The 26,488-nt window shown below is 43.0% G+C and overlaps 1 protein-coding gene and 1 long non-coding RNA gene across 11 annotated transcripts in view, besides 5 other annotated features; one reads left to right on the top strand and one right to left on the bottom strand.

Moving 5' to 3' along the window:
* Positions 1–26,488, top strand: part of DDC (dopa decarboxylase) — a 106,964-nt gene that overhangs the window by 21,768 nt on the left and 58,708 nt on the right. For 4 of the 10 annotated variants that reach the window (NM_001082971.2, NM_000790.4, XM_047419931.1 and 1 more), the window contains exons 3-6: positions 3,610–3,723; positions 5,659–5,778; positions 14,296–14,430; positions 15,358–15,501. In NM_001082971.2, the coding sequence (NP_001076440.2) occupies positions 3,610–3,723; positions 5,659–5,778; positions 14,296–14,430; positions 15,358–15,501 (513 nt within the window). Of the gene's footprint in view, positions 1–3,609; positions 3,724–4,119; positions 4,243–5,658; positions 5,779–14,295; positions 14,431–15,357; positions 15,502–26,488 lie in introns of all 10 variants that reach the window. The other 6 variants (XM_005271745.5, NM_001242886.2, XM_047419932.1 and 3 more) reach the window with 5 other exon arrangements.
* Positions 175–11,879, bottom strand: DDC-AS1 (DDC antisense RNA 1). Its single transcript, NR_033845.1, has 5 exons — positions 11,756–11,879; positions 4,471–4,524; positions 3,493–3,807; positions 2,229–2,292; positions 175–1,393 (listed from the first exon to the last, which is right to left on the bottom strand). It is a non-coding gene; the product is annotated as a DDC antisense RNA 1 (long non-coding RNA).
* Positions 7,667–8,866: an enhancer, noted in NCBI's record as "BRD4-independent group 4 enhancer chr7:50602470-50603669 (GRCh37/hg19 assembly coordinates)". NCBI's record gives its function as "activates an origin of replication core promoter dependent on BRD2, P300/CBP, MED14 and CDK7 cofactors, and independent of BRD4, by STARR-seq in HCT116 cells {active_cell/tissue: HCT116}" and the evidence as "EXISTENCE:reporter gene assay evidence [ECO:0000049][PMID:35650434]".
* Positions 11,230–12,429: an enhancer, noted in NCBI's record as "P300/CBP strongly-dependent group 1 enhancer chr7:50598907-50600106 (GRCh37/hg19 assembly coordinates)". NCBI's record gives its function as "activates an origin of replication core promoter dependent on BRD2, BRD4, P300/CBP, MED14 and CDK7 cofactors, with strong dependence on P300/CBP, by STARR-seq in HCT116 cells {active_cell/tissue: HCT116}" and the evidence as "EXISTENCE:reporter gene assay evidence [ECO:0000049][PMID:35650434]".
* Positions 12,789–12,958: an enhancer, noted in NCBI's record as "experimental_99425 CRE fragment used in MPRA reporter constructs". NCBI's record gives its function as "activates a minimal promoter by MPRAs in K562 erythroleukemia cells, with activity observed for the introgressed 7:50598463 variant allele {active_cell/tissue: K562}" and the evidence as "EXISTENCE:reporter gene assay evidence [ECO:0000049][PMID:34662402]".
* Positions 12,789–12,976: a biological region, named in NCBI's record as "Neanderthal introgressed variant-containing enhancers experimental_99424 and experimental_99425".
* Positions 12,807–12,976: an enhancer, noted in NCBI's record as "experimental_99424 CRE fragment used in MPRA reporter constructs". NCBI's record gives its function as "activates a minimal promoter by MPRAs in K562 erythroleukemia cells, with activity observed for the introgressed 7:50598445 variant allele {active_cell/tissue: K562}" and the evidence as "EXISTENCE:reporter gene assay evidence [ECO:0000049][PMID:34662402]".

Below are 26,488 nucleotides of genomic sequence, written 5' to 3'. Positions count from 1 at the left end.
CTTTCCCCCAGGTCCCCTGAGACTCAGTCCCTGCCCAGAGACACTCGGTACATAGAGCGTGTCCTCATATACATTAGGAAGCAAGACACTGGTGGCTGCTTTCAAATAAGTCAATTGCCCCAAATAAAGCACACTTCCACCATCCTTGGGTTTAGCAATAGGTAATTAGCATATGTGGAAGAAACGTTTTCTTTAGTTTATTTGAGAGTGGGCAGTGTGGTGCTGCCCACCAAGGCAGCCCTTTTTCTCTGAAGCCAGTAGGCCTGGGGTACACAGAGGGCAGAAATCAGCGGGACTGGCTGCTGTCTCCGATACTCACTCACAGGGCAGCAGAGTTGGAGCTCAGAGAAACTTCCCTTCAGCTTTACGCTTCCACAGTAGATTTTCTCTGCCAAGGAGTTCACCTAAAAGCCTGTTGGTTAAAGTGGCTCTGGCCTAGTCAGGGTCTGGGTGGGAGTTGCAGCCCGGCCAGTTTCTAGATCACGAATGTTTATGAGGATGGCCAAACCTGCCCTTCCATGCAACAATGTGCAGAGTCCAGGCAGGGAAAATCTCCGTGGGCTCCACTGGTTGATCACTGCCGCGACCCAGCATGTCTGTGGTTGTAAGGCCTATGAGCAACGACATGTGATTTTCATAGAAGAGGGGTCTGGGACCATCAAGACCCACTCCCTCAATGTAGACAGAATGCCAAGGCCCTGTGAAGGCATAAGGTCAGACAAGGTTACAGTCCACTGATCATGGGTTGAGACTAGGCCTCAGGCCCTGGACCTCAGGGACTGGTTTCTCAGTAGCTGAGCGCCTCTCTCACCACACTGCTCACATTTCTTCTTCCAGGGGATTCTCACTTGGCATTTATGCTTTGAGCAAAGAACAGGATTCAGGTTCTTCTAGAAATTGTGCAAGTACACTAAGCTGTTCAGCATAAAACCCTTTGGGAGAGGTGTGGCTAAATGTCAGGCAGTGGGGAGTACAGGAGAGTAAGGGAGGATTTGAAGTCTTTCTGCTTCCTTCTATGGGGGCATTCACTGCGCAGAGCTGAGCTGGGAAATGCACAGGCGTTGGGCAAGGTCCCTGGGTGGGAGCTGCAGCCCACGAACTGCTGGCTGTGTGATCGCAGGAAACCAGGTGAGCTCTCGAGCCGTGAGCGGAGCAAGTGCAGGCCCAGCCATCTCAAAAGTTGCTGTGAATATCAGCGGAGAGTGAAGCAAAAGAGCACACATCTGTCCCTAATCAAGAATCGCTTCTGTCCTTTTCCAGCCCAAAGGCCACAGGAAGGGGAGAGAGACAAAGGCACATGGGCCCTCCAGGTGCGGAGGGGCTAGTCAGCCACAGGGCTGCTCTTAAACTCTCCTGGGCCCCGGGCGCTTTGTCTTTGTCGGCTCCTTCCTCCCTAGAAATATGGAAAATTATGCTTTACAAATGCATTGGCATAAAGATGAATATATTAACATCGATTTTTTTTCTTTAACCTGAAAGTTCACTGTTTTTTCCTCCTGATTACAGAAGAAATTTAAGCATTTTTTCAGCCCCTAACAGTGTCGTGGGCCTGGACCTGCTGTGCTGAAGGCATCACAGCCTGTGCAGCTCCTCTCGGCCTCTCAGCCTCATCACCAACCTCCCACACCTGAGCCCCCAAGCCTAGACTGTGTTAGCTCCCTCTCTCCACCACTCCCCAAGCCCTGGCAGACTTGGGGTGGCCGTGGTTGTTAAATAAACCTTACTGAACACTCCTAGTTCTTGGTGAGCTCTCTCAGTTGGCTGCCTTCACAATCAGAGGGGGTTGCTCATGCTACATCTTAGACAACATATATTTAACGATGAGTGCTATTGAGAAATAAATGTTTGCATCTCTTCTCAGATTGTAAGAGATATCTTACAGATATCTTAGCTTGGACTGCTATATCAAAGGACGTAGACTGGGGGCTTAAACAACATTGATTTCTCACAGTTCTAGAGACAGGAAGTCTGAGATCAAGATATTAGGTTCAGGTGAGGGCTCTCTTCCTGGTTTACAGACAGCCGTCTTCCCAGTGTGTACTCACGTAACCAAGAGGTAGCCAGCTCTCTGCCTTTTCTTATGAGGGCACTAATCCCACTGTTGGGGGGCACTAATCTTATTAAGGGGACCCCACCCTCATGCCCTAATCACCTCCCAAAGACGCTGTCCCTTAATGCCATCACTTTGGGGGTTAGGATTTCGACGCGAATGGTGTGCAGATACTCACATTCAGAGCAGAGCAGCCAAGCCCGATAGAGCATATCCTCTGCTGCTGGGATTCTGAGCCAGACCTGGAGGAAGCATCAGAGCACGTGCTTTCATTTTATCTGAAGGGATGACAGGGCCCAGGGAGGTGCAGTCAGTTGTCTGGGGTAACCCAGCAAATCAGGGTTCCTGCTGGACTTGCAGTCCAGGGGTGCTCCCAACACCATGCTATTCCCACAGGCAGGATGGACATGGAGCACCAGCAGGGGACAATGCGGAACAGGGCAATGTCTCTCAGAAACCAGTGCGTGGTCACAGCCTGAGAGGGGTCTGAATGGCAATTTCTATACCTTCTCCATGCACAGGGGCTGAGGGTTGTCCTGAGGGCTTTAGGACTTTATTCTGTTCCTTCAGGGCAGGTACTGCATTGGCAGGAACAAATTAAAGACCCAAAGACTAGGCTACACCTGCTCCTTCTCTGTCCTCCCCTGATCGTCCTCCCAGACTCCAAGATGTTTGAGGCTGGCCCCTTGTTACCATTGCTAAATGTTCCCTGCCTGGGTGTCCACCACAACCCTTGCCTCCTGGATCCTGAAACCCCCTGTCCCCAAGTATACCACCTGGAGCTGTCACTACCCCTTATGGATCTCCTCCCTGGCCCACATGAGCTTTTCCTCTGTGCCTCACCCAGGGAGTGGCAGGTGTTCACCTTATGGGCTGGAGAAAGGTGGGATGCCCCTAGCCAGGGCAAATGGCAAGGGGCAGTGGCCAGGCTGAGGGACAGCAGAGGTGAGACATCTGTGGGGTGATCCAGCTGCTTGGCTGGAGGGAAGGCCTCAGCTCCTCTAGAAGAGCCAGGGGCAGCGGGAAGACCAGATGCATGTTTGTGGCTTGACTGAAGAAACCTCGAAAATCCAGAGCTTGGTTTTTTTTTTTGTTTGTTTGTTTGTTTTTAATGGAGACTTTATTTTTTAGAGTAGTTTTAGGAAAACTAAGCTTTTGGCACAAAGAGATCAGCCTTGGGGCAGCGCCTTCACTGACGAGAGCACCGGAGCAAGAACTTGAAGCACAGTGTGGTTTTTTGAGACTTCTTTTGTTATGGAAAATGATAAGGATTTTCCACTTTATTTTGGAGATAGAACTTTTCCTTCTGAGCTAGCAAATACATTCCAGTGTCAAAAAGGGAGCTGGTTTAAAGGGAGTGGGGACAGTAAGGTGATGTGTAAATGCTCCGAAATAATGGAGGAAGGTAATGGGATGGCTGACATTTGGGGAACTGCACTCACCTAACTCTGGGTCTGGCTGCATCTGGCAGCTGGGAGCCATGGGGGTACCTGGGTCCCCCGCTCTCTTGAGGCCTGGCTTTCCTCACTCCTCAGCAGCTGCTCTGTCCTCCCATGCAGGTGACGCACTGGCACAGCCCCTACTTCTTCGCCTACTTCCCCACTGCCAGCTCGTACCCGGCCATGCTTGCGGACATGCTGTGCGGGGCCATTGGCTGCATCGGCTTCTCCTGGGTGAGGGTCCGGATGCACCTCGGGAAGGGGTCCTGGCTGTGGTGGGATCCCGGGGTGGGGACACGGTACCTATGCACAAGGGACCTGAGCAGATGGCGGTGCTGTCTGTGGGCAGACGGGCTACTGTTGCAGGGAGGAGAAAGGATTCAGCCCAGAGAGAGTGCCTCTGAGAAAGTAGCGATTGAGAACAGAGAAAGTCTCAACAACTCAAAGCCCATTCTGCACAGGCTGTGTTGGAAGCACTTGGTATGAACTAACATCATGGTCTGGGGCCCAGAGTTTCTGCAGCTCGAACCTGGGAATCTGCATTTCTCCAAGCAGCTCAGAGAATTTCTATATCCTCCAAAGCTTGAGAACCGCGACTGCCCCTGTCTCATTCCTTCTGTTCTCCACCAGGGCTGCTGCCTGGGGAGAGGCTCCAACCAGCCTATCAGATGTGTCCAGAGCCTTGGAGCAGGGGGGTCTCTGGAAAAGGGCCTAGCTCCTGCCTGCAAACCACCAGTCCCACCCTATCTGGAGGTAAAATGCCTAAAAAAGTCCCTACTCAGAAGAACGGTAGGCAGGGCTGGCTCTGCCCGTGACTCTGTGCTCCAGGCACAGATTACAGGAAAGATGCATTCCTCCCAAATGCAGAGAGCTTGGAGGTAGAGCTGCCTGCTGATGGCCAGTGTCCGAGGGCTGCTGCACCCTGGGGAGTTCCTCAAAAGCCAGGGGCTGTCCTTGGCCTTTGGGGTCCAGAGCACTCACCTTGTCTGTGGCTTGGAGCCAGGTGGACTTGTGGGCATCGGTCTATGTGGCATGCTGTGATGTGTAAAGGAGCTGTCAATTAGGAATTTGCAGCACTGAGCCACAGGGCCCAGCTGAGCCACCTCTGCTTCACCAGCCTGGCACTTGCTCTTCTCTGGGCTGGGGCACTGGAAGTTGCCGGGTGAGCAGGCATCATGGGCCCTACAGGCAGGGCTGAAGAGCCCACAGATGGGCTCTTCAGTGTCTGTGCTGCTCCTCTGCCAGGCACTGGGGCCTCCCTCTCTGCTGGGCAGGGCTGGCCTGGGCTGAGCATACCCTCTCCTAAAGAGCATTTTCTATCACTGGATATTGCAGCAGATTTCATTTAGCTCTGCTGGTCCAAATCCATTCTGTCCCACAGAGGTACTTGGCATCCATCTCTATCTGCTCATTCTGGGACAGTCTGATTGCCCTCAGGCCTTGAAGGGAGTGCCTCACTATCTCTCAGGCTGCGTTGCCTGATACCTCATCCCTAGCAGAGAGCATAGGCTCCTGGTAGAGCTGGGCTTGGCCAGGCTCAGGTAGAACCCAGCAGGATGGGGCTGACCAGAAGGGAGAATGCACTCTTCTCACTTAGATCTTACTGGTGACGCATCGGGATGTTGCTGTGCACATCTAGGCACGAGAACATCTTGGACCCCTTATGTTGGAGACTTTTATGAAGGTGGAGACTCAATCCACCTTTGGATGGGGCTCAAGACCAGCCTGTTCAGAGAGAGGGGAGAGTTCATAGAGAAAAGTCACTGGGAGTTTAAAAGACAAGATCAATGGCTTCTCGGGATGCCCAGAGGGTGACAGCTGCCCAGCGCCCACTTTCTCATTCCCTTCATTTGTGACTACGGAGGAAAGTCCACCAGTGGGCTTTCTGGACCCTTCTGTGAGTGAACAAATGAATATCCTAGCAAGCCCGCAGAGCCCATGCAGTGAGGCTCAGTGGAGTAAGGTTCATTATGGTGGCCCGTATGTTCCTTCCCAACCGCTCTCCTTGCATGATTCTAGGTCAAACAGCCTTCAGGCCTTTGAATCACATCTGAGATTGGGTGATTTTAATCTGGGCTTTAGTGGAAGGTTAAATCCCCTTGTTACTGCTGACCCCCAAATTCTGCAATGCCTGGCCCTCGGTTAATCCCTTCCCTTCCCCCACGACAGGCGGCAAGCCCAGCATGCACAGAGCTGGAGACTGTGATGATGGACTGGCTCGGGAAGATGCTGGAACTACCAAAGGCATTTTTGAATGAGAAAGCTGGAGAAGGGGGAGGAGTGATCCAGGTAAGGTGGGAGCTGTGAGGGCCACTTTTGGGATGCATGGGCTCTGCACAGGACTGTAGCCGCAGGTGGGGAAAGAGGCACTCATGCTTCTTGTTAGTTCCTCAAATTTCTCCTGGAGAATAAACAAAACCGAGCTCTTGGGAAAATGCTGGCTTTGGGATTGGCAGGATCTGGATTAGGATCCCAGTGCTGTCTTTCACTCGCTTCCCCAGGGCAGGGCACTCAGTTCCCCAGGCCCCTAGCTATGGTAGGTAGCACAGCCGCTATCTCACAGCAGGTGCGTGGAAGTAACAACTACAGCAACTATCGTTTGTGTGGGGTTCCCCATCGCCGGCCACTGTGCCTAAGCATTTTCCAGGCATTAACTCATTTAATTCTCACAACAACACTGTGCATTTTAGTACCCCTTTTTACAAGTGAAGAAACATTTTAATAGCCCTTTTTACAGGAGAGGAAACTAGGGTCCAGAACATTAGGTAGCTTGCCCCATGGCTTCCAGCTACAGACTCTGTGTGGCTCAGAGCCCGTGATATTCCTCGGAGGACAGCACAGGTGGCAGATGTGACCAGGCTTCAGAGGCTATAAATACTATTTGTCTTTGAACCAATCATTTACTTAAAGATGCTGCTGCTTCTATGCAGCAACTGAATTCATTTTCTTCATGTAACATGTATCTATTGAGAGTGACTGTGTGTCAGAGCTTACACCAGGGAACAAGATAGACAAAAGACAATCATGATGGAATTTCTATTCCACTGGGGTTGCAGGACAAATGGCACTGGGATGACTTGGACTTGATGCATTAAAAAAAAAAAAAAAAAACAACTTCCTAGCATGGAATATGAACTATATTGAACCCAGTACTCTCCCTTAATCATTTTTCTCATGTCAAGTAGATGATAGTCTCATTAGGAAAGCATTGTTAACTTTGGGAAAAAGGGGCTTCCTTTTCAGATATTGTCTTTCACAAGGCTCTGAGAATTGGTGAAGGCCCATTCAGTGGATGAGGACAGTGAGGCACACACTGGAGAACACCTTTGTGCAGAGCACATGGCCAGTGTGGCCACGCGAAACTAGCAAGCAAGTCTCTCCACTTCCAGTCCTGAGAATGAGCAACAAGACTGATAATTTTATGTATTTGTTTCTATTGATGTTGTGACAAATTTTGTGGCTCAAAATAAGACAAACTGATTATCTTACAGTTCTGTACATCAGAAGTCTGACCTGGGTCTTACTGGGCTAAAACCAAAGTTGACACCTTGGAGGCTCCAGGGGTGAATCTGCTTCCTTGCCTCTTCTGACTTCTAGAGGCTTCCAAAATTCCTTGGCTCACAGCCCCATTTCCATTTTCAAAGCCAGCTGTGTCCCATCTTTCTGACCTTTCTTTTGTAAACCCCAAATATCTGAGATGGGTCTCAGTCAACTTAGTTTATTTTGCCAAAGTTAAGGATGCGTGCCTGTGATACAGCCTCAAGAGATCCTGACTACATGTGCCCAAGGTGGTTGGGCACAGCTTGGTTGTATACATTTTAGGGGGACATGAGATGTAAGATGTACATTGGTTTGGTCTGGAAAGGTGGGACAATTCAAAGCAGGGAGGGGGCTTTCAGGTCATAGGTAGATAAGAGACAATTGGTTGCATTCTTTTGAGTTTCTGATTAGCCTTTCCAAAGGAGGCCATCAGATGTGCAGCTATCTCAGTGGGCAGAGGGGTGACTTTGAGTTCTGTCTGTCCTTCATCCAAAAGGAAATTCCTTATGAGGGAGGCATGTAGCTTTTTATCTTAGTAGCTATCTCTTTTAGGAATAGAATGGGAGGCAGGTTTGGCCTAAGCAGTTCCCAGCTTGACTTTTCCCTTTGGCTTAGTGATTTGGGGGTCCCAAGATTTATTTTCCTTTCACACTTTCCTGGTCGCATCTCCTTGTGACCACATATAAGATCGGAAAGTGGGTCTCCACTTTTAAGGACACATATGATTGGATTGGGTCCATCCAGGCAATCTGAGATAATCTCTCAAGTCAAGTTTCTTAACTTAATCACATCAGCAAAGTCACCTTTTCCCTGGAAGGGAAACAGTCACAGATTCTGGGGACCAAGACCTGAAATCTCTGGGAATGAGGGTGCATTAATGTGCCTACCACATCCAGTGTGCTTCAGAGTCATGGAGGGAACTTGCTTGTAATGCCTATTCCTAGACTCTGGGCCAAAAAATGTGAACGCTAATTCATCCGGATGACACCCAGATTCCTGAATAGGCCACATGCCGGGACTGATGACTGCCTTCTCCATGACCCACAGGCCCTGTGGCCAGGCTCAGAGTCATCCCTCCACGTGCTCCTCCTTCGCATTCTTTGGTTATCTCTTTTTCCATCAGACATAAGTGATATTAAATGGGGAGCTGAGGAAAATGAAATGTCAGGCATAGTGGCTCACGCCTGTAATCCCAGCACTTTGTGAGGCCAAGGCAGGCAGATCACCTGAGGTCAGGAGTCTGAGACCAGCCTGGCCAACATGGTGAAACCCTGTCTCTACTAAAAATACAAAAATTATCCAGGTGTGGTGGCGGGCACCTATAATCCCAGCTACTTGGGAGGAGAATTGCTTGAACCTGGGAGGCAGAGGTTGCCGTGAGCCAAGACCTTGCCATTGCACTCCAGCCTGGTTGACGAGAGGGAAACTCCATCAAGAAAAAAAAAAAAGAAAGAAAAGAAAACGTCAGCTATGTTGTAAGCAAAGCTTCAATACGTTGCTGTGAACCATACCATTCTACGTAGCAGCAACAATGACTCAGCAATGATTCAGCAAATGAATCATGCTTCAGTCCCAGCACAATTTTCTTCTGGTCAGTGAGTATGCAGCTGGAGAAGCCTCCTTGGCCAAGATCACAGCAAGGATAGGCTGTCACAGGTGCCCTTCCAGCGAGGGGAGGGAGCTACTGCACACTGTCCGCAGCCAGTGCTCTGTCAGCTGCACTTTGCCTTGGTGAGGGCCAGATGGCTTTCTGGCCTCTGGAACATCAGTCCTGATTCTCCAGGGGACAGAGGGCAGCAGCACTCAGCGACCCAGTGGGACAGCTGCGTGCCTGCAGAGGGCGTGGTTTTGATTCCAGGCAAGGGCATGCATGGTCTAACCCTTTACAAGAGGCCTCGATGTTGGTGGCCGACTTACTTTTTCTTTTAGTTTTATACACGGGACAAGGTCTACTTTTCCATTTCTTTTCCATTTGTTCCTCTCATTTTTTTTTTTTATTTTGTCTTGTTTTTAGACGAAGTCTCATTCTTGTCGCCCAGGCTGGAGTGCAGTGGCACGATCTCAGCTCACTGCAACCACTGCCTCCCGGTTCAAGCCATTCTCCTGCCTCAGCTTCCCAAGAAGCTGGGATTACAAGGCACCCATCACCATGCCTGGATAATTTTTGTATTTGTAGTAGAGACAGGGTTTTGCCATTTTGCCCAGGCTGGTCTCAAACTCCTGACCTCAGGTGATCCACCCACCTCGGCCTCCCAAAGTGCTAGGATTACAGGTGTGAGCTGTAGGAGATCGGTCAGAGTGGTGGGAGAAACTATAGGGAAAAGGAGCAGGCCTTCTGAAAGGTCAGAAGGCTCTGCAAAGCTCCATGGCAGAATAGCTGAAGGCAGCTGTTCTATAACCCTGAGGCAGAGGATAAGGAGTAGGTACAAGGGAGTGTAGGGGAATTTATCTTGGTCAAGCTTGTTTGTTAGAAGTTGTCCAGGAACTGACCTCGGAACATCCTTGCACGTGACATTCCCTGAAAGGGGAACAATAAATGTTAATTATCTACAGGTTGTGTTTGCTCCAGGTTTTCAGCATTGTGCTTGCACTCAATAAAAGCAAGCTGCTCCAGCTTCTCAGGGCTGCTCTCTGGCCACTAGAGCCAGGCAGTCACTTAGCTGCTCTTACACTGCATACCTGTGTCTGAGCACTCATTTCCTCCATCGGCCAGGGTCTGCAGGACAGATCCAGCAGTGAGCCACTGCACCCAGACTGTTCCCCTCATTTTGACCCTCCCTAGCATTTGGTGAGCCCTGCTGATTCAAGACTCAGCTCTGTGCAGTGTGGAGATTTTTCTTCTACTGTATGTTAGTTATTGTGGGCCACGTCACTCTTTTTCAGGGACTTCAATTTTCCACAGATTGGGTACCTCTTCCATGATTTCTCTCTTCCTTTCGATATTTCCCTTTTTTGTTATCTTCTATATTTTAGGAAGCTTTTCATGGTTTTCTCCACATGATTATGTGATTATGGACCTGGTGTGGTGGCTCACGCCTGTAATCCCAACACTTTGGGAGGCCAAGGCGGGTGGATCATTTGAGGTAGGAGTTTAAGACCAGCCTGGCCAACATGGTGAAATCCCATCTCTACTAAAAATACAAAACTTAGCTGGACATGGTGGCATGTGCCTGTAATCCCAGCTACTCAGGAGGTTGAGGCAGGAGAATCATTTGAACCCAGGAGGTGGATGTTGAGGTGAGCTGAGATCATGCCACTGCACTCCAGTCGGGGTGACAGAGTGAGACCCTGTCTCAAAAAAAAAAAAAAAAGTCCCCTTTCCACCTAGATACTGGACATTCATGGTAAAAATGAAAAGACACAGGAGCTTTCTTGTCATATTCCCTGTGTTATTTCAGTATCTACATGTGAATATATGTATACAGACAAAATTGAAATGATACTACGCATATGGATTTTCTGCATGGTGCTTTCCTTATCATTTTATTGTGAGCATTTCCCACTATTTAAATATTGTTTGAAAAAAGTATTACTCCATGATTTTCTATGATGCATCACAATCTATATAAATATATAAATAATACCTAAGATATTTGTGTTGCATCAAATTTTCCATTCTTATAAAAAAAATTTTGGAGGACACCCTTTAGGATGAAGTGCAACAATCTTCCAAGATGATCACCTTCCTCCTAGGACTCTCCTGGCTGTATTCATGTTTAACATTCATGCTCCCCACTAAATCCAAATGGAACAAAACAAAAATTGAAGCATTTCTAGGTCATTGCATCTTATAACAAAAACAATTTCATATTCAATTTTTTCAGCAGATGATTCCTCTAATTATATACTCCTCAAAAAAATCTTATCAATCCCTCATAATATAAGCTGTGTCTATTATAATAAGAGCTACTTTTCATTGAATAGCAATTATGAGCTTGGCTATGTTTTAGCCTATGTCTTGTGCTTTGTGTTATTGTCTTCATCCTCAAAGTATTTATGAAGATTGATTGGATTATGGACAATCTTTTTCATGGATGAGGATATTGAGTCCCAGAAAGTTAGTAGAACATGCATAGCAGCAAAAGTGAATTAAAGCCAAGGCTAGTAGGAAAGACAACCAGAGTTATGACTGTTACACCAGCTCATCCCTGACCATAGGCTTGGGTTGGTGTCCAGAGATGTGCATGCTACTATGGGCTGCATTTTCGTTTCATTAAAGACAACCTCATTTTTGAGAGACCATACAAGTCTTTAGCATTTGGGTAGGAATATTCCTGGCATCTCTCAGCCCCCGCTTTAACACAATCTTCCTGTGAGCCCAATCCACTCAGTTTTTTTCTGGATGAAAGGAAGAAATGGGATCTGTGTTTGCCACCGGAAGCTCACCCTTCTCAGCAGACAAGGCTGATTGTCTGTAATTGGTGAGGCCCCAAAGAGCACAGGAGCCTGGTGACAGCCTGTGAGCCAGCCTGCATTATTGATCCCCTCAGAGCTGTAATCACAGCTGTGGGCGTCAGCGCAGTGATGCGTGTCTGAGTCAAATGGCAAACTGTTGTTGTGAGGCTGGACAAATGTGGTCTGGGAAAATGGTCTCTTAATTGGGTTTTAAAGTTCTTGTGGAAGAAAAGACAATTTTTTGCTTCGAAAAAAACTGAAGATGAAAGGACATTTCTGCTCACGGCATCAGCAGCCAGAAGCGTCAGACCTTACCAGCATCCCCTCCTACCTCCTGAGCAGGCTTGCCATGGCAACCTTTGTCTGCTGCTATCGCACAGAGCCATCGTTCCTGCTCTGTACCACATGTCACCCTCCCCGTGCTTCTCTCCGCGAAGATCTGCTGCCAGCAAAGTGCAGAGAGCTCCACCTGACATCATGCTTGAGGCCACCAGGCCACCCTGGTGGCATCGGGGTGGTGTGGTTCTAGATGTGCTACTGACGATTTGCTCCTTCAGGCTTTTAAAACATCATTTTGTTGACTTAAGAAGGTGAATTTTCTCTTAGGACATGAACTAAGCTCCCCCATCCCCCCCCAGAGAAAAGCCATAATGAGTTGTCATGGTGATTCAGGTGATTCATGGTGACTCATTTCATTAGAATGTTCAGAGAATGAACACCTGCGTTCCAACGCTTCAAGCAGAGGGTAGAATTTAGCCGGGGAAGCTGCAGTCACGCCTGCTTGTCAAGCATCAGAACAGGGAATTGTGCCTTCCACCAGGCTTTTCATGTTACATTTCCAATGAGAATGGGTGGGACATGACAAACAAAATGTGTGTGGGGGCAGATAGGGGGACAGGAGGAAATCAGGGACAGGAATGATGGGGTACATAGGAGAAGTGTAAGTAAGGTACAATGCCTGCTCTCAGGGAGCCTGGGTTTCCTGGGATGGCTGATTTAGCTTTGCCAGCCAAAATTGGTTTCTCCCCTTCTCTCTCCTCTGGCCAAGGTTTGTAAACCTGGCCTAAAACAATGTCTAAAATCATTGCTCATGAAAATATAGCCTGAAGGAAATAAAGTACCCATTTTAGATGCTGAATTAAGAGACGCATATATCTGTATATTTGAACCCATCCATTAGTGCTACAGAAACATGAATAAATGTATTTATCTTTCAATATTACTGTCCCACCAAAGGATGTGGGTTGGCTCAAAAGAATAAGTAAAAGTAGTGTCAAGGCAAAGTCAAAATGAGAAATCAGGGTCAATGAAGAGAGCATCAAATGTTAAGAAGAGAGGTTAGCATTTCTACTTAATTATTTTATTATATATTTCTCTGTAAAAACCTATCATGTTATAAACTTTTTCAGAGTCAACAAGAACCTACCTTCTTTTATTTGCCCTTTCTAATGTCCTTTCATACTGGTCGGTAGATGGGTTTCTTCTACGACTTACTTAAGAGGGAAGGTGCTCGCTGCCCCTACCTTTCTAGGCCCATGGCACCCTAAAAAGCGCAGGCGTGGGCTCACTCCTAACCGTGCCCTACCTAGCTGCTGATTTGGGGCAAGTTAGTGAACCTCTCTGCACATCTGTTTCCCCACCTGAAGATGATAAAACACAAAAATGGGATTATTTTTACAACTTAAATGGGATAACATAGCAGGCCCTGAATCCATTAGTTTGCCAGGGGTTCCCTAACAAAATACCACTGACTGGGTGGATCGAAGAAGAATTTCTTTTCTCACAGTCCCGAAGGCTGCAAGTCCAAAATCAAAGTGTCCACAGGGTTGGTTCTCCTGGGGCCTCTCTCCTGGGCTTGCAGATGGCCACCTTCTCCCTGTGTCCTCACATGGTCTTCCCTCTGTGCACCCACATGTCTGGGGGCCACATTTCCCCTTCTTTTTATTTATTTATTTTTTTGAGACTGGGTCTCACTCTGTCGCCCAGGCTGGAGTGCAGTGTTGTAATTGCGGCTCACTGCAACCTCCGCCTCCCAGGCTCAAGTCATCCTCCCACCTCAGCCTCTCGAGTAGCTGGGACTACCAGGCACGCCACCATGCCTGGCTAATTTTTGTATTTTTATAGATACAGGGTTTCGGTATGTTGCCCAGGCTGGTCTCGAACTCCGGGGCTCAAGTGATCGACCCTCCTCTGCCTCCCAAAGTGCTGGGATTATAGGCAAATTTCATATTATCAGAAACATGTCAGATTGGATTAGAGCCCAGCCATGTGACCCCATTTTCTTTTAATTACCTCTCTAAAAAGCCTATCTCCAAATATGGTCACATCTGAGGTCCTGGGGGTTAGGGCTTCAACACATGAATTTTTGGGGACACAATTCAGCCCGTGTCATTAGGAATCAAAAGAAACCCTTTAAGGCATCTCTTAGTCTCAAGGAAAATGCACCCCTATTTTATAAACAAATGCAAATCGCTCTGTCCGAGTGAATATGAACGCAGAGTCAGGCTTGCATGCTGGTGCCCTGGGCCGTTCTCCTCTGATAGAGACAGGAGCAGTCGTCCTAGGCCAGGCTGGGGGCAGTCCATGAGGAGAAGCTCTCACAATACCTGGCGCAGGGAAGTGGTCAGAAATGTTAGCTGCTGCTGTTACACAAAATAGACCCACCAATGGCAAACTCATACCAACAGCTGAAGTGGTGGTCTCAGGTGTCAAAAATATTAGTTTTCTCCTAAGCAAAGGAGAGTGAATTTTGCCATTTCAGACTCATATTTTAAGAAAACTATGGACACAAAACAATATGTCTTCCAATAGTGTAGGTACCAATGCCTTCGCTATGTTTGGGATTTCATTTGGACCTTCTCTTGAATTTAGGGAAGTGCCAGTGAAGCCACCCTGGTGGCCCTGCTGGCCGCTCGGACCAAAGTGATCCATCGGCTGCAGGCAGCGTCCCCAGAGCTCACACAGGCCGCTATCATGGAGAAGCTGGTGGCTTACTCATCCGATCAGGTGAGTGTGTTGTGGGGGTATCAGCCAAGACTTCAAGACCCGAATGTTTGGTTTTATGTCAAATTCAAACCAAACCAAACAGCATCCTTCCAAATCTAAGAACAGTTCCTCAGGTATCACTAAATAGAGACCTGAACTACAGGGAAGGGGTGGATTCTTGGGTGGGAACTGGATAGATCAAGTTAAGAAGGAAATAAATGTGTGGAGACATCACCGCGACTGGCTCTGTCACCTTTTCTACCAGTGCGGACTTCTGTTGTGATTATCTGGCCTTCCGAGCACCATTGCAGAGAAACTAGATATGGGGATCAAAGTCCTCGGCCCTAACTGCAGCTTTGTTATTCTGTGATCTCAGGCCCCTGGGTAGCGTCAAGCAGGAGACAGTGGCGGTGGGGGCTGCAGGGCAAAAGGTGGCCGGCTTTCATGAGAATTGCCTTTCCTGAGAATCTCTGAGACAGGATGGATCTGCCACAGTGGTGATGCCTCCTGGCTGGTTTCTTTCCTCCAGGTACTGTTTACTGAGCCTGGCCACCAAGCTCCCCAAGGCTCCACAGTCAGGGGCAGGGCACAGATTTGAGCCTAGGATTTCTAAGTCCACCTCTGGGATCTACTTTCCAGGGTCTCGCCACTTATCCTTGAGTTCAAACAAATGAAAAACTTCATAAATATTGACCCAGCACTTTACCCTTGTTAGTGCCTGATACTTTAAACTTAAAAGCAAGATTCCACAGGAACAGAAACAACTCCAGGAAAAAAGGGGTCTCATGAAGGTGCAGGGGAGAGGGAGCAGTCAGGAGCAGTTCTGCCTCCTGTGCCGTTAAGAGGGACCTTGTGTTTGCAATGTTGGCTGCTCTCTGCCGATCCAGGGCCTGGTAATAACTGCATGCACACACCTGTACAAATCCAACTCTGCTGTCTTCTTTCCAGGCACACTCCTCAGTGGAAAGAGCTGGGTTAATTGGTGGAGTGAAATTAAAAGCCATCCCCTCAGATGGCAACTTCGCCATGCGTGCGTCTGCCCTGCAGGAAGCCCTGGAGAGAGACAAAGCGGCTGGCCTGATTCCTTTCTTTGTAAGTTCGGCAGCACTTGTGGCTCCTGGCCAATAAGGTGAAACTCCGTCTCTACTAAAAATACAAAAAAAAATTAGCCGGGCATGGTGGCGCATTCTTGTAATCCCAGCTACTCGGGAAGCTGAGGCAGGAGAATGGCGTGAACCCGGGAGGCGGAGGTTGCAGTGAGCCGAGATCGCGCCGCTGCACTCCAGCCTGTGTGACAGAGCAAGACTCTGTCTCAAAAAAAATTAATCTTTGAGAAACGCTTTTTACCTCCATTTTTTTTTTTGTTTTGTCAATTCAAGTCAATTCCACAGTGTAATGTGGAAGAACTGACATGGCTCAAAGTTAGCACGCAGAGCAAGGTGACAGCCAAGACATTTTGAAGGATGCAAAAAGAGTCTGCCAGTGGATCAAGGTGTACCTGCCATCTTATCCCAAAAGTCTTATCTTTCTCCGTTGCGTTCATCTCCACAGGCCATACAGGTTTGTTCCTATATGTGTTTACTGCTTCCTTCTTCCCAACAGAATGTGCGGGGAGGTAAGGTCCATTTGAATCCCTGCCTTATCCCTAGCTCCTGAAACAGTGCCTGGCACTGAACAGAAGCTCGATAAATATTTGTCAAACAAATAAAGATTTGGAAGAAAGATCATTCAGGTAGAAAGAAAGATCTCCCTTAAAATTCCCACAAACAATTTCAGTACAATTTGAATAGATTCTATTTAAATAAGGTGAATTTCTTTGAACCTATAGTGTCAATATTAAGACTCAGAATACTCTGTCTAGGGAAAAATAAATCTGTCAAAACACACTCTTTTAGGTTTCAAGAATGAAAACAATGCAGGAAACATCACTGAAAATGTTAAGATTGTATTTTACAAAAATTTCAAAACTCATGAAATAAAAAGACAAATGCTGGCAAGAACCACTTATAGCGTATGTCGTAAAGTAAATCTTAAAAAGAAGGCTTACATATCAGTAAGCAAAAAGGCAACATTCCAGTGGGAAAACATGCGAAATATATGAAGTCAGTTTCATATATAACCACAAAAAACTAAGAACACAAAACCGATTCTGATCCTCTAATAACCAAAGAAATGCAAATTAGTTGCCAAGAGAGGTATGTTAAAAATCTCACACTATGAGTGTAGATATGTCTATTTCCACTTTTATATCTGTTAAATTGTGTACATATTTTGAAGCATATTAATTTGGTGCATACACATTTAGAATTGTCATATCTCCCTGGTGAATGATCGTTTATCACTAGGAGATGCCCTTTATATCTCTAGTAATGCATTTTGTCCTGCAGCCTACTTTGTCTGACATTGCTATAATTGCATATGTTTTCTATTGGCTAATGTTTGCATGATATAGACATTTTCCATTCTACTTTCAACCTCCCTGTTCATTTATATTTAAGATGTATCCTGTGAAAGCAGCATTGATTGTTGCTATTTTAAAAATTTGTTTTTAAAATCCAGTGTGACGATTGATATTTATTTTGTTCATTTACACTCAAGGTAGTTATTGATACATTTAAATGTTATCTGCTGTCTATTTGTTTTTTATTTGGCTCAACTATTATATGATTGCTTTTCTCTATGTTCTTGCCTCTTCTTGGATTAATTATTTCATATTATTCCATTTTCTTATCTCTGCATTTTCTTATTTCCATTCGGCATCTTTTCTTTTAGTCTGTAGAATTCCCTTTAGAAATTTTTAGTGTGAATTTGATATAATGAATTATCTCAGTTTTGTTAATCTGAAAGTGTCTTTACTGTGCCTTCACTTTTGGAAGATATTTTTTCTGGGTATAGAATTCTAGAGTGTTTGGTAGCTAGTTTTATTTTTGGTACTTTGTATAAGTCCATTGAATTCTTTCTTCCATGATTTCTGTTGAGATGTCAGTTGTAATTTTAATGTTGTGATGATGAAGAACATACAAAAATATGACATTTCCTTCTGTGCCGCCAATGGAGGTGCTGCTTGCTTTTTGTCTTTGTTTTACTGTGATACAAGGATAATTTTCTTTTTATTTACTCTTCTTGGATTTCACAGAACTTCCTGAATCTGTAATTTGGTGTCTCTCCTCGGTTTTGGAAAATTCTAACCTATTATCTTCCCAAAGTTTGCCTCTCCTCATTTCCTCTCTCCTCCCATTCTGGGACTCTGATTATGTATATGTTAAATCTTTCTGCAGACTGCCATATATCTCTTATGCCCTTTTACATGTCTCACTTTCTTTTTTTTTTTAATCTCCATGCTTCATCAACTTATTTACAATTTACCAATTAATCTCTTTAGCTATGCCTAGCTGATAAATATGTCATGCTCATAATTCTAAACATTAAAAAATTTTAACTTATTTTATTTTATTTTATTTTTTTGAGACAGAGTCTCACTCTATCACCCAGGTTGGAGTGCAGTGATGCAATCTTGGCTCACTGCAACATCTGCCTCCCAGGTTCAAGTAAGTCTCCTACCTCAGCCTCCCAAGTAGCTGGGATTACAGGTGTGTACCACCACGCCTGGCTAATTTTTGTATTTCTAGTGGAGACGGGGTCTCATCATGTTGGCCAAGCTGGTCTCGAACCCCTGACTGCAGGTGATCTGCCTGCCTCGGCCTTCCAAAGTGCTGGGATTACAGGAGTGAGCCACTGTGCCTGGCCAACTTTTTATTTTGAAATAATCGTAGATTCATAGAAAATTACAAAGTTAGCACAAAGAAATTCTGCGTACTAACCCTTCACCCAATTTCCCCTAATTGTTCCAACTTTTATAACTATAGTACCATATCAAAGACAGGAGACTGACACTGGTTCATTGTGTGTGTATAGGTCTATGTCATTTATCACAAGTGTTGATTCATGCAGCCACCATGCCAATGAGAATACTGAAATCCTCTAGCACCACAAAGGTCTGCCTCTGCTACTCCCTGATAGTCACTCTCACCTTCCTGATCTCCTACCATCATCAACCCTTGGCAATCACTGATATGTTTTCTACCTCTACACTCTTGTCATTTTGAGAATGTTATATAAATGGAATTATACAATATGTGACATTTCAAGATCAGCTTTTCTCACTCAGCATAATGGCCTTGAGATCCATCCAAGTTGTTGCATGTATCAATAGTATGTTCCTTTTCGTTGCTGCACCACAGAGATTTGGTACCATGTTATCTATACTACAGTTTGTTTACCCATTCACCTGTTGAGGGGCATTGTAGTTGTTTCCATATTTTGGCTATTACAAATAATGCATCCAGGAACATTAATGTATAGGTGTTTGGGTGGACATATACTTTCATTTCTCTGGGATAAATGCCTAAGAGTGCAATTAAGGGTCCTATGGTAGTTGTTACATTTAATTTTTTTAACAAAGAAACTGACAAGGTATTTTCCAGAGTGACTGTATTATTTTACATTTCCATTATCAATGCTTGAGAAAATCAGGCTCTTTATACATCCTTACCAGCATTTGGTATTGTCACTATTTTTTATTTTATCCATTTTGATAGATATGCATTAATATGTTATCATGGTCCTAATTTGCAGTTCCCTGATAACTAATGAACATCTTTTCATGTGCTTATTCACTATCTATATGTCCTCGTCAATGACATGTGTCTTTATGTCTTTTGCCCATTTTCTAATTGGATGATGGATTGATTTTTTAAATGAATAAGCTTAATTTTGTTAGAGTTGTTTTAGGCTTACAGAAAAATAAGTAGGAAGAACATATACCTTCTTATATCCCAACCTTCATTTCCCCCATTATTAGCATCCTGCAGTAGTGTGATACATTTATTAAAATTGATTCACCAATACATAACATCCATAATTTACCTTAGGGGTCACTATTTCTATTGAATTTTCTATATGTTTTAACAAGTGTATAATGACAAGTATCTACCATTTCAGTGTTACACAGAATAGTTTCACTGCCATAAAAATCCCCTGTGCTCCACCTGTTTATCCCTCTCTCCCTCCACTTGAACCACTGGCAGCCACTAATCTTTTTGGCTGTCTCCATCATTTGTTCTTTTTTAGAATGTCATACAGATAGAATCATACAATATGTAGCCTTTTCAGATTGACTTATTTCACTAACATGTATTTAAGTTTCCTCCATGTCTTTTTGTACTAGTTTATTTCTTTTTATTGTTGAATGCTGTTTTCTGATATGAACACGCCACAATTCATTTATGCATTTATCTATTGAAGGACATCTTGTTTGCTTCCAAGTTTTGACAGTTATTAATGAAGTGCTATAAGCATTTGTGTGCAGGTTTTTGTGTGTACATAAGTTTTCAACTCATTTGGGTAAATACCAAGGATCACAATTGCTGGATCGTATGGTAAGAGTGTGCTTAAAGTTTTATAAGGAAAGGCTGAACTGTGTTTCAAAGAGACTGTACCATTTTGCATTCCCACAATGAATGTTAGTGTAGGTTTTCCAATATCTTTGTCAGCTGTTAATTTTTTTCAGTGTTTTTTATTTTATCCATTCTAATAGATGTGTAGTGGTATCTTATTGTTATTTTACTTGAAAATTCTGTAATAACATATGATGTTGAGCATTATTTCATGTGCTTATTTGCTACATGAACATCTTCTTTGGTAAGATGTCTGTTCAGGTCTTTTGCCCACTTTTTAATTGGATTGTTTCATTATTATTGAGTTTTAAGAGTTCTTTGTGTATTTTGGGTAGCAAACCTTTATCAAGATATATGTTTTGCCAATGTTTTCTGCCAGTCTTTAGCTTGTCATTTCATCCTTTAAACAATGTCTTTTGCAGAGCAGAAGTTTTAATTACAATGAAGTCCAGATTATCAATTACTTCTTTCATGGATCATGTTTTTGGTGTGGTCTCCAAAAATTCATCATCAATCCTAAGGTCATCTAGGTTTTCTCCTATATTATCTTCTCGGAAATTTATAGTTTTGTACTTTAAAACATTAAAATAGATGTAGGTCTATGATCTATTTTCAGTTAATTTTTGTGAAAGGTGTAAGGTCTATGTCTAGATTCATTTTTTGCATGTAGATGTTGATATGGTTTGGCTCTGTGTCCCAACCCGAATCCATGTGGAATTGTAATCCTCAGTGTTAGGGGAAGGACCTGGTGGAAGGTGATTGGATCATGGGGATGGATTTCTCCCTTGCTGTTCTCATGATAGTGAGTGAATTCTCATGAGATCCGGCTGTTTAAACAGTGTGTAGCACCTCTCCCTTTGCTCTCTCTTGCTGGCAATATGAAGATGTGCTTGCTTCCCCTTCACCTTCTGCCATGATTGTAAGTTTCCGGAGGCCCCCCCAGCCATGCTTCCTGTATAGCCAGTGGAACTATGAACCAATAGTTCCTTTCTTTGTAATGGAACAATAAACCTCCTTTCTTTATAAATTACCCAGTCTCAGGAAGTTCTTTATAGCAATGTGAGAATGGACTAATGCAGATGTTCAGTTGTTCCAGCACCTTTTGTTGAATACTACACTTCCTCCATTGAATTGCTTTTGTTCCTTTGTCAAAGATCAGTTGACTTCATTTGTGCGGATCTATTTCTGTTCAACTCATTTATTTGTCTCTTCCTTTGCCAATACCATATTGTCTTGATTTATAGCTTTCTACTAAGTCTTGAATTTGGGTAGTGTCATGTCAGATCTCAAACACTGTTGTTTAATATTATGTTGACTATTCTAGGTCCTTTGCCTCTTCATATAAGCATTAGAATCAGTTTAGCAAAATGCACAAAATAACTTTCTGGGACTTTATATAGGATTGCATTGAATTTACGCATTTTGTTGAAATAACTGACATCTTGATGATATTGAGACTTCCTATCCATGTATGTGAAATATGCCTACATTTATTTAGATCTTTTAAAAAATTTTCTTCATTAGAGTATTGTAGTTTTCCTCATATAAAGCTCATTCTTTTTTTTTTCTTTTTACTTTTTTTGGTGCTAATGGGAATGGTTTTTATTTTATTTTCAAATTTCATTTTTTTAATTGCTGGATGATAAGAAAACAATTAACTTTTATCTAATATTATCATTTTATCCTACAGCTTGCCATAATTGTTTACTTAGTTCTGGGAGAGTTTTGTTTTTGTTTATTCTTTGGGATTTCTACACAGATAACCATGTCATCTGCAAAGATACTTTTTTTCTTTCCTTCCAATCTGTATATCTCTTATTTCCTCTTCTTGTCTTATTGCATTAGCTGAAACTCTCAGTACAATGTTGATAGGAGTAGTAAGAACAGACATCCTTGCCTCATTCCTGATCTTCGTAGGAAAACATCTAGTTTTTCATCATCAAGTATGATGTTAAGAGTAGGTTTTTCATTCATCAAGTATGATGTTAAGAGTAGATGTCATTCATCAAGTTGAGGATGTTCTGCTCGAATCCTAGTTTGCTAGGAGTTTTTATTATGAACAAGTGTTGAATTTTGTCAAACACTTTTCTGTATCTATTTACATAATCATGAGATTCTTGTCCTTCAGCCTGTTGAAATGATAGATTATATTAATTTATTTTTCTATGTTGAATCAGCCTTCCATCCTGGAATAGATCTCACTTGGTTCTGATATATAATTTTTTTTACATTGTTGGATTCAATTTGCTAATATTTTGTTGAGAATTTTTGCATCTCTATTTATGAGAGATATTGTTCTATAGTTTTCCTTCTTGCAATGTCTTTGTAATACTGGTCTCATAGAATGAGTCAGAAAGTATTCCTTTTGCTTCTATTTTCTGTAAGTAATCCTTACTTCCTTAAATGTTTGGCAGAACTCAGCAGTGAATTCAATTGGCATGGTTTCTTTGTTTTAGAAGGTTTTTAATTATTGATCTAATTTTAAAATAGATGTAGCACCATTGAGGTTATCTCTTTCTCTTTGTCTGAGTTTTGGCAAATTGTATCCTTCAAAAAGTTGGTCTATTTTATTTAGGTTTTTGAATTTGTGGCCTTGGAATCCATTTTGTTTCTTTATTATCTTTTTAATGTCCATAGGATTAGTAATGATGGTTCTACTTTCCTTTCTGATATTAGCAATGTGTGTCTTTTTTCTTAACCTGTATAAATGTTTGAAAATTTATTTATCATTTCAAAGAGTCAGCTTTTTTCTTTATTTCCTATTTCCAATTTCATTGATTTCTGCTCTAATTCTTATTATTTCTTTTCTTTTCTTCTGCTTACATTGCATTTATTTATTTATTTATTTATTTATTTATTTATTTATTTATTTTCTGAGACAGAGTCTTACTCTGTTGCCTAGGCTGGAATGCAGTGGCACAACCTCCACCTCCCAGGTTCAAGCAATTCTCCTGCCTCAGCCTCTTGAGTATCTGGGACTACAGGCATGCATCACCATACCCAGCTAATTTTTGTATTTTTAGTAGAGATGGGATTTCACCATGTTGGTCAGGCTGGCCTTGAACTCCTGACCTCAGGTGATCCGCCTGCCTCGGCCTCCCAAAGTGCTGGGATTACAGGCATGAGCCACTGCACCTGGCCACATTGCATTTAAATTGCCTTTTTTTCTAGGTTATTAAGGTGGAAGCTTAGATTATAGATTTTAGATTTCCCTTCTTTTCTAATGTACTCATTCAGTTCTGTAAATTTCCCTTTAAGTACTGTTTCACTGCATCCCACAAATTTTGATGAGTTTTATTGTCATTTTCATTGAAGTACTTTTAAATTTTTCTTGAGACTTCTCCTTTGACCTTAAAATGTGTTGTTTGATCTCTAAGAGTTTTCGGGTCTTCCAGCTATCTTTTTATTATTGATTTCTAATTTAATTCCAATGCAGTCTGAGAGCATACTTTGTATAATGTCCATTATTTTAAATTTGTTGAGATGTATTTTATGGCTTGGAATGTGGTATATCTTGGTGAATGTTGATTGTGAGCGTGAGAAAGAAAATATATTCTGCTGTCATTGGATGAAATATTTTACAAATATTGATTTGATCCAGTTAATTGATGGTACTTTTCCATTCAATTATATCCTTACCTATTTTCTGACTGCTGGACCTGTCCATTTCTGACAAAGGGGTGACAAAGTCTCCAACTATAAGAGTGAGTTTATCTGTTTCTCCTTAGAGTTCTATCACTAATAATATAGTAACTGTGAAAAGTAGATTCTCGCCCATCTTCAGGATTTACTGGTTTTTGTTTGTTTGTTTGTTTGTTTTGGTTTTGATTGTTGTAGACTACCTCTGTGCTGAAAATTGGCCTTAGGTGTAAACTTTTTTTCCCCCATAAGTTATTAGGGTACAGGTGGTATTTGGTTACATGAGTAAATTCCTTTAGTGGTGATTTGTGAGATTTTGGTGCACCCATAAACTGAGCAGTATACACTGCACCACATTTGTAGTCTTTTATTCCTCACCCCCGCTCCCACTCTTCCCCCCAAGTCCCCAAAGCCCATTGTATCATTCTCATGCCTTTGTGTCTTCATAGCTTAGCTCCCACATATCAGTGAGAACCTACAATGTTTGGTTTTCCATTCCTGAGCTACTTCACTTAGAATGTGTCCAATCTTATCCAGGTCACTGCGAATGCTGTTAATTCATTACTTTTTATGGCTGAGTAGTATTCCATTGTATGTATATATACCACAGTTTCTTTATTTATTCGTTGATTGATGGGCATTTGGTTGGTTCCACGATTTTGCAATTGTGAATTGTGCTGCTTTAAACATGCATGTGCAAGTATCTCTTTCTAATAATGACTTATTTTCCTCTGGGTAGATACCCAGTAGTGGGATTGCTGGATCAAATGGTAGTTCTACTTTTAGTTCTTTTAGGAATCTCCACACAGATTTCCATAGTGGCTATACTAGTTTACATTCCTACCAGCAGTGTAGAAGTGTTCCTGGATCACCACATCCATGCCAACATCTAATGTTTTTGATTTTTTGATTATGGCTATTCTTGCAGGAGTAAGGTGGTATTGCATTGTGGTTTTGATTTGCATTTCCCTGATTATTAGTGATGTTGAGCATTTTTTTTATATGTTTGTTGGCCATTTGTATATCTTCTTTTGAGAATTGTCTATTCATGTCCTTAGCCCAGTTTTTGATGGGATTGTTTGTTTATCGTGTTACTGATTTGTTTGAGTTCATTGTAGATTCTAGATATTAGTCCTTTGTCAGATGTATAGATTGTGAAGATTTCCTCCCACTCTGTGGGTTGTCTGTTTACCCTGCTGACTGTTCCTTTTGCCATGCAAATGCTCTTTAGTTTAATTAGGTCCCAGCCATTTATCTCTGTTTTTATTGCATTTGCTTTTGGGTTCTTGTTCATGAAATCCTTGCCTAAGCCAATGTCTACAAGGGTTTTTCCAATGTTATCTTCTAGAATTTTTATAGTTTCAGGTCTTAGGTTTAAGTCCTCAATCCATCTTGAGTTGATTTTTGTATAAGGTGAGAGATGAGGATGCGGTTTCATTCTCCTACATGTGGCTAGCCAATTATCCCAGCAACATTAGTTGAAAAGGGTGTCCTTTCCCCCACTTTATGTTTTTGTTTGCTTTGTTGAAGATCAGTTGGTTGTAAGTATTGGATTTATTTCTGGGTTCTCTATTCTGTTCCATTGGTCTATGTGCCTATTTTTATACCAGTACCATGCTGTTCTGGTGACTATGGCCTTATAGTATAGTTTGAAATCAGGTAGTGTGATGCCTCCAGATTTGTTCTTTTTGCTTAGTCTTGCTTTGACTATGCTGGCTCTTTTTTGGTTTCATATGAATTTTAGAATTGTTTTTTTCTATTTCTGTGAAGAATGATGGTGGTATTTTGATGGGGATTGCATTGCATTTGTAGATTGCTTTTGGTAGTATGGTCATTTTCACAATATTGATTCTACCCATTAATGAGCATGGAATGTGTTTCCATTTGTTTGTGTCATCTATGATTTCTTTTTTTTTTTTTTTGAGATGGAGTCTCGCTCTGTCACCCAGGGTGGAGTGCAGTGGCATGATCTTGGCTCACTGCAACCTTCACATTTCCAGGTTCATGCCATTCTCCTGCCTCAGCCTCCTGAGTAGCTGGGACTACAGGCACTTGCCACCACGCCTGGCTAATTTTTTTGTATTTTTTAGTAGAGATGGGGTTTCACCATGTTCGCCAGCATCTTCTTGATCTCCTGAACTTGTGATCCGCCCATCTCAGCCTCCCAAAGTGCTGGGATTACAAGTGTGAGCCACCAGGCCCGGCCCCATCTATGATTTCTTTCAGCAATGTTTTGTAGTTCTCCTGGTAGAGGTCTTCAACTCCTTGGTTAGGTATATTCCTAAGGTTTTTTTTTTTTTTTTTTTTTAGCTATTATAAAAGTGTTCTTGATTTGATTCTCAGTTTGGTTGCTGTTGGTGTATAGAAGAGCTACTGACTTGTGTACATTAATCTTGTATCCAGAAACTTTGCTGAATTCTTTTATCAGTTTTAGGAGCTTTCTGGAGGAGTCTTTAGGATTTTCAAGGCAAGCAATCATATTGGCAGCAAACAGTGACAATCTGACTTCCTCTTTACTGATTTGGATGCCCTTTATTTCTTTCTCTTGTCTGATTGCTGTGGCTAGGATTTCCAGTACTATGTTGTAAAGAAGTGGTGAGAGTGGGTAACCTTGTCATGTTCCAGTTCTCAGAGGGAATGCTTTCAACTTTTCCCCATTCAGTATTATGTTGGCTGTGGGTTTGCTGTAGATGGATTTTATTATATTAAGGTATGTCCCTTTATGCCAATTTTGCTGAAAGTTTTAATCATAAAGGAATACTGGGTTTTGTCAGATGCTTTTTCTGCATCTGCATCTATTGAGATGATCATGTGATTTTTGTTTTTAATTCTCTTTCTGTGGTGTATCACATTTATTTACTTGTATACATTAAACCATCCCTGCATCCCTGGTATGAAACCCACTTGATCATGGTGGATTATCTTTATGATATATTTTTGGATTTGGTTAGCTATTATTTTGTTAAGGATTTTAGCATTTATGT

The sequence above is a fragment of the Homo sapiens genome, chromosome 7 (genome assembly GCF_000001405.40).
Source record: "Homo sapiens chromosome 7, GRCh38.p14 Primary Assembly".
Classification (NCBI taxonomy): Eukaryota; Metazoa; Chordata; class Mammalia; order Primates; family Hominidae; genus Homo; species Homo sapiens.
This window is presented reverse-complemented; position numbering and strand designations above follow the sequence as displayed.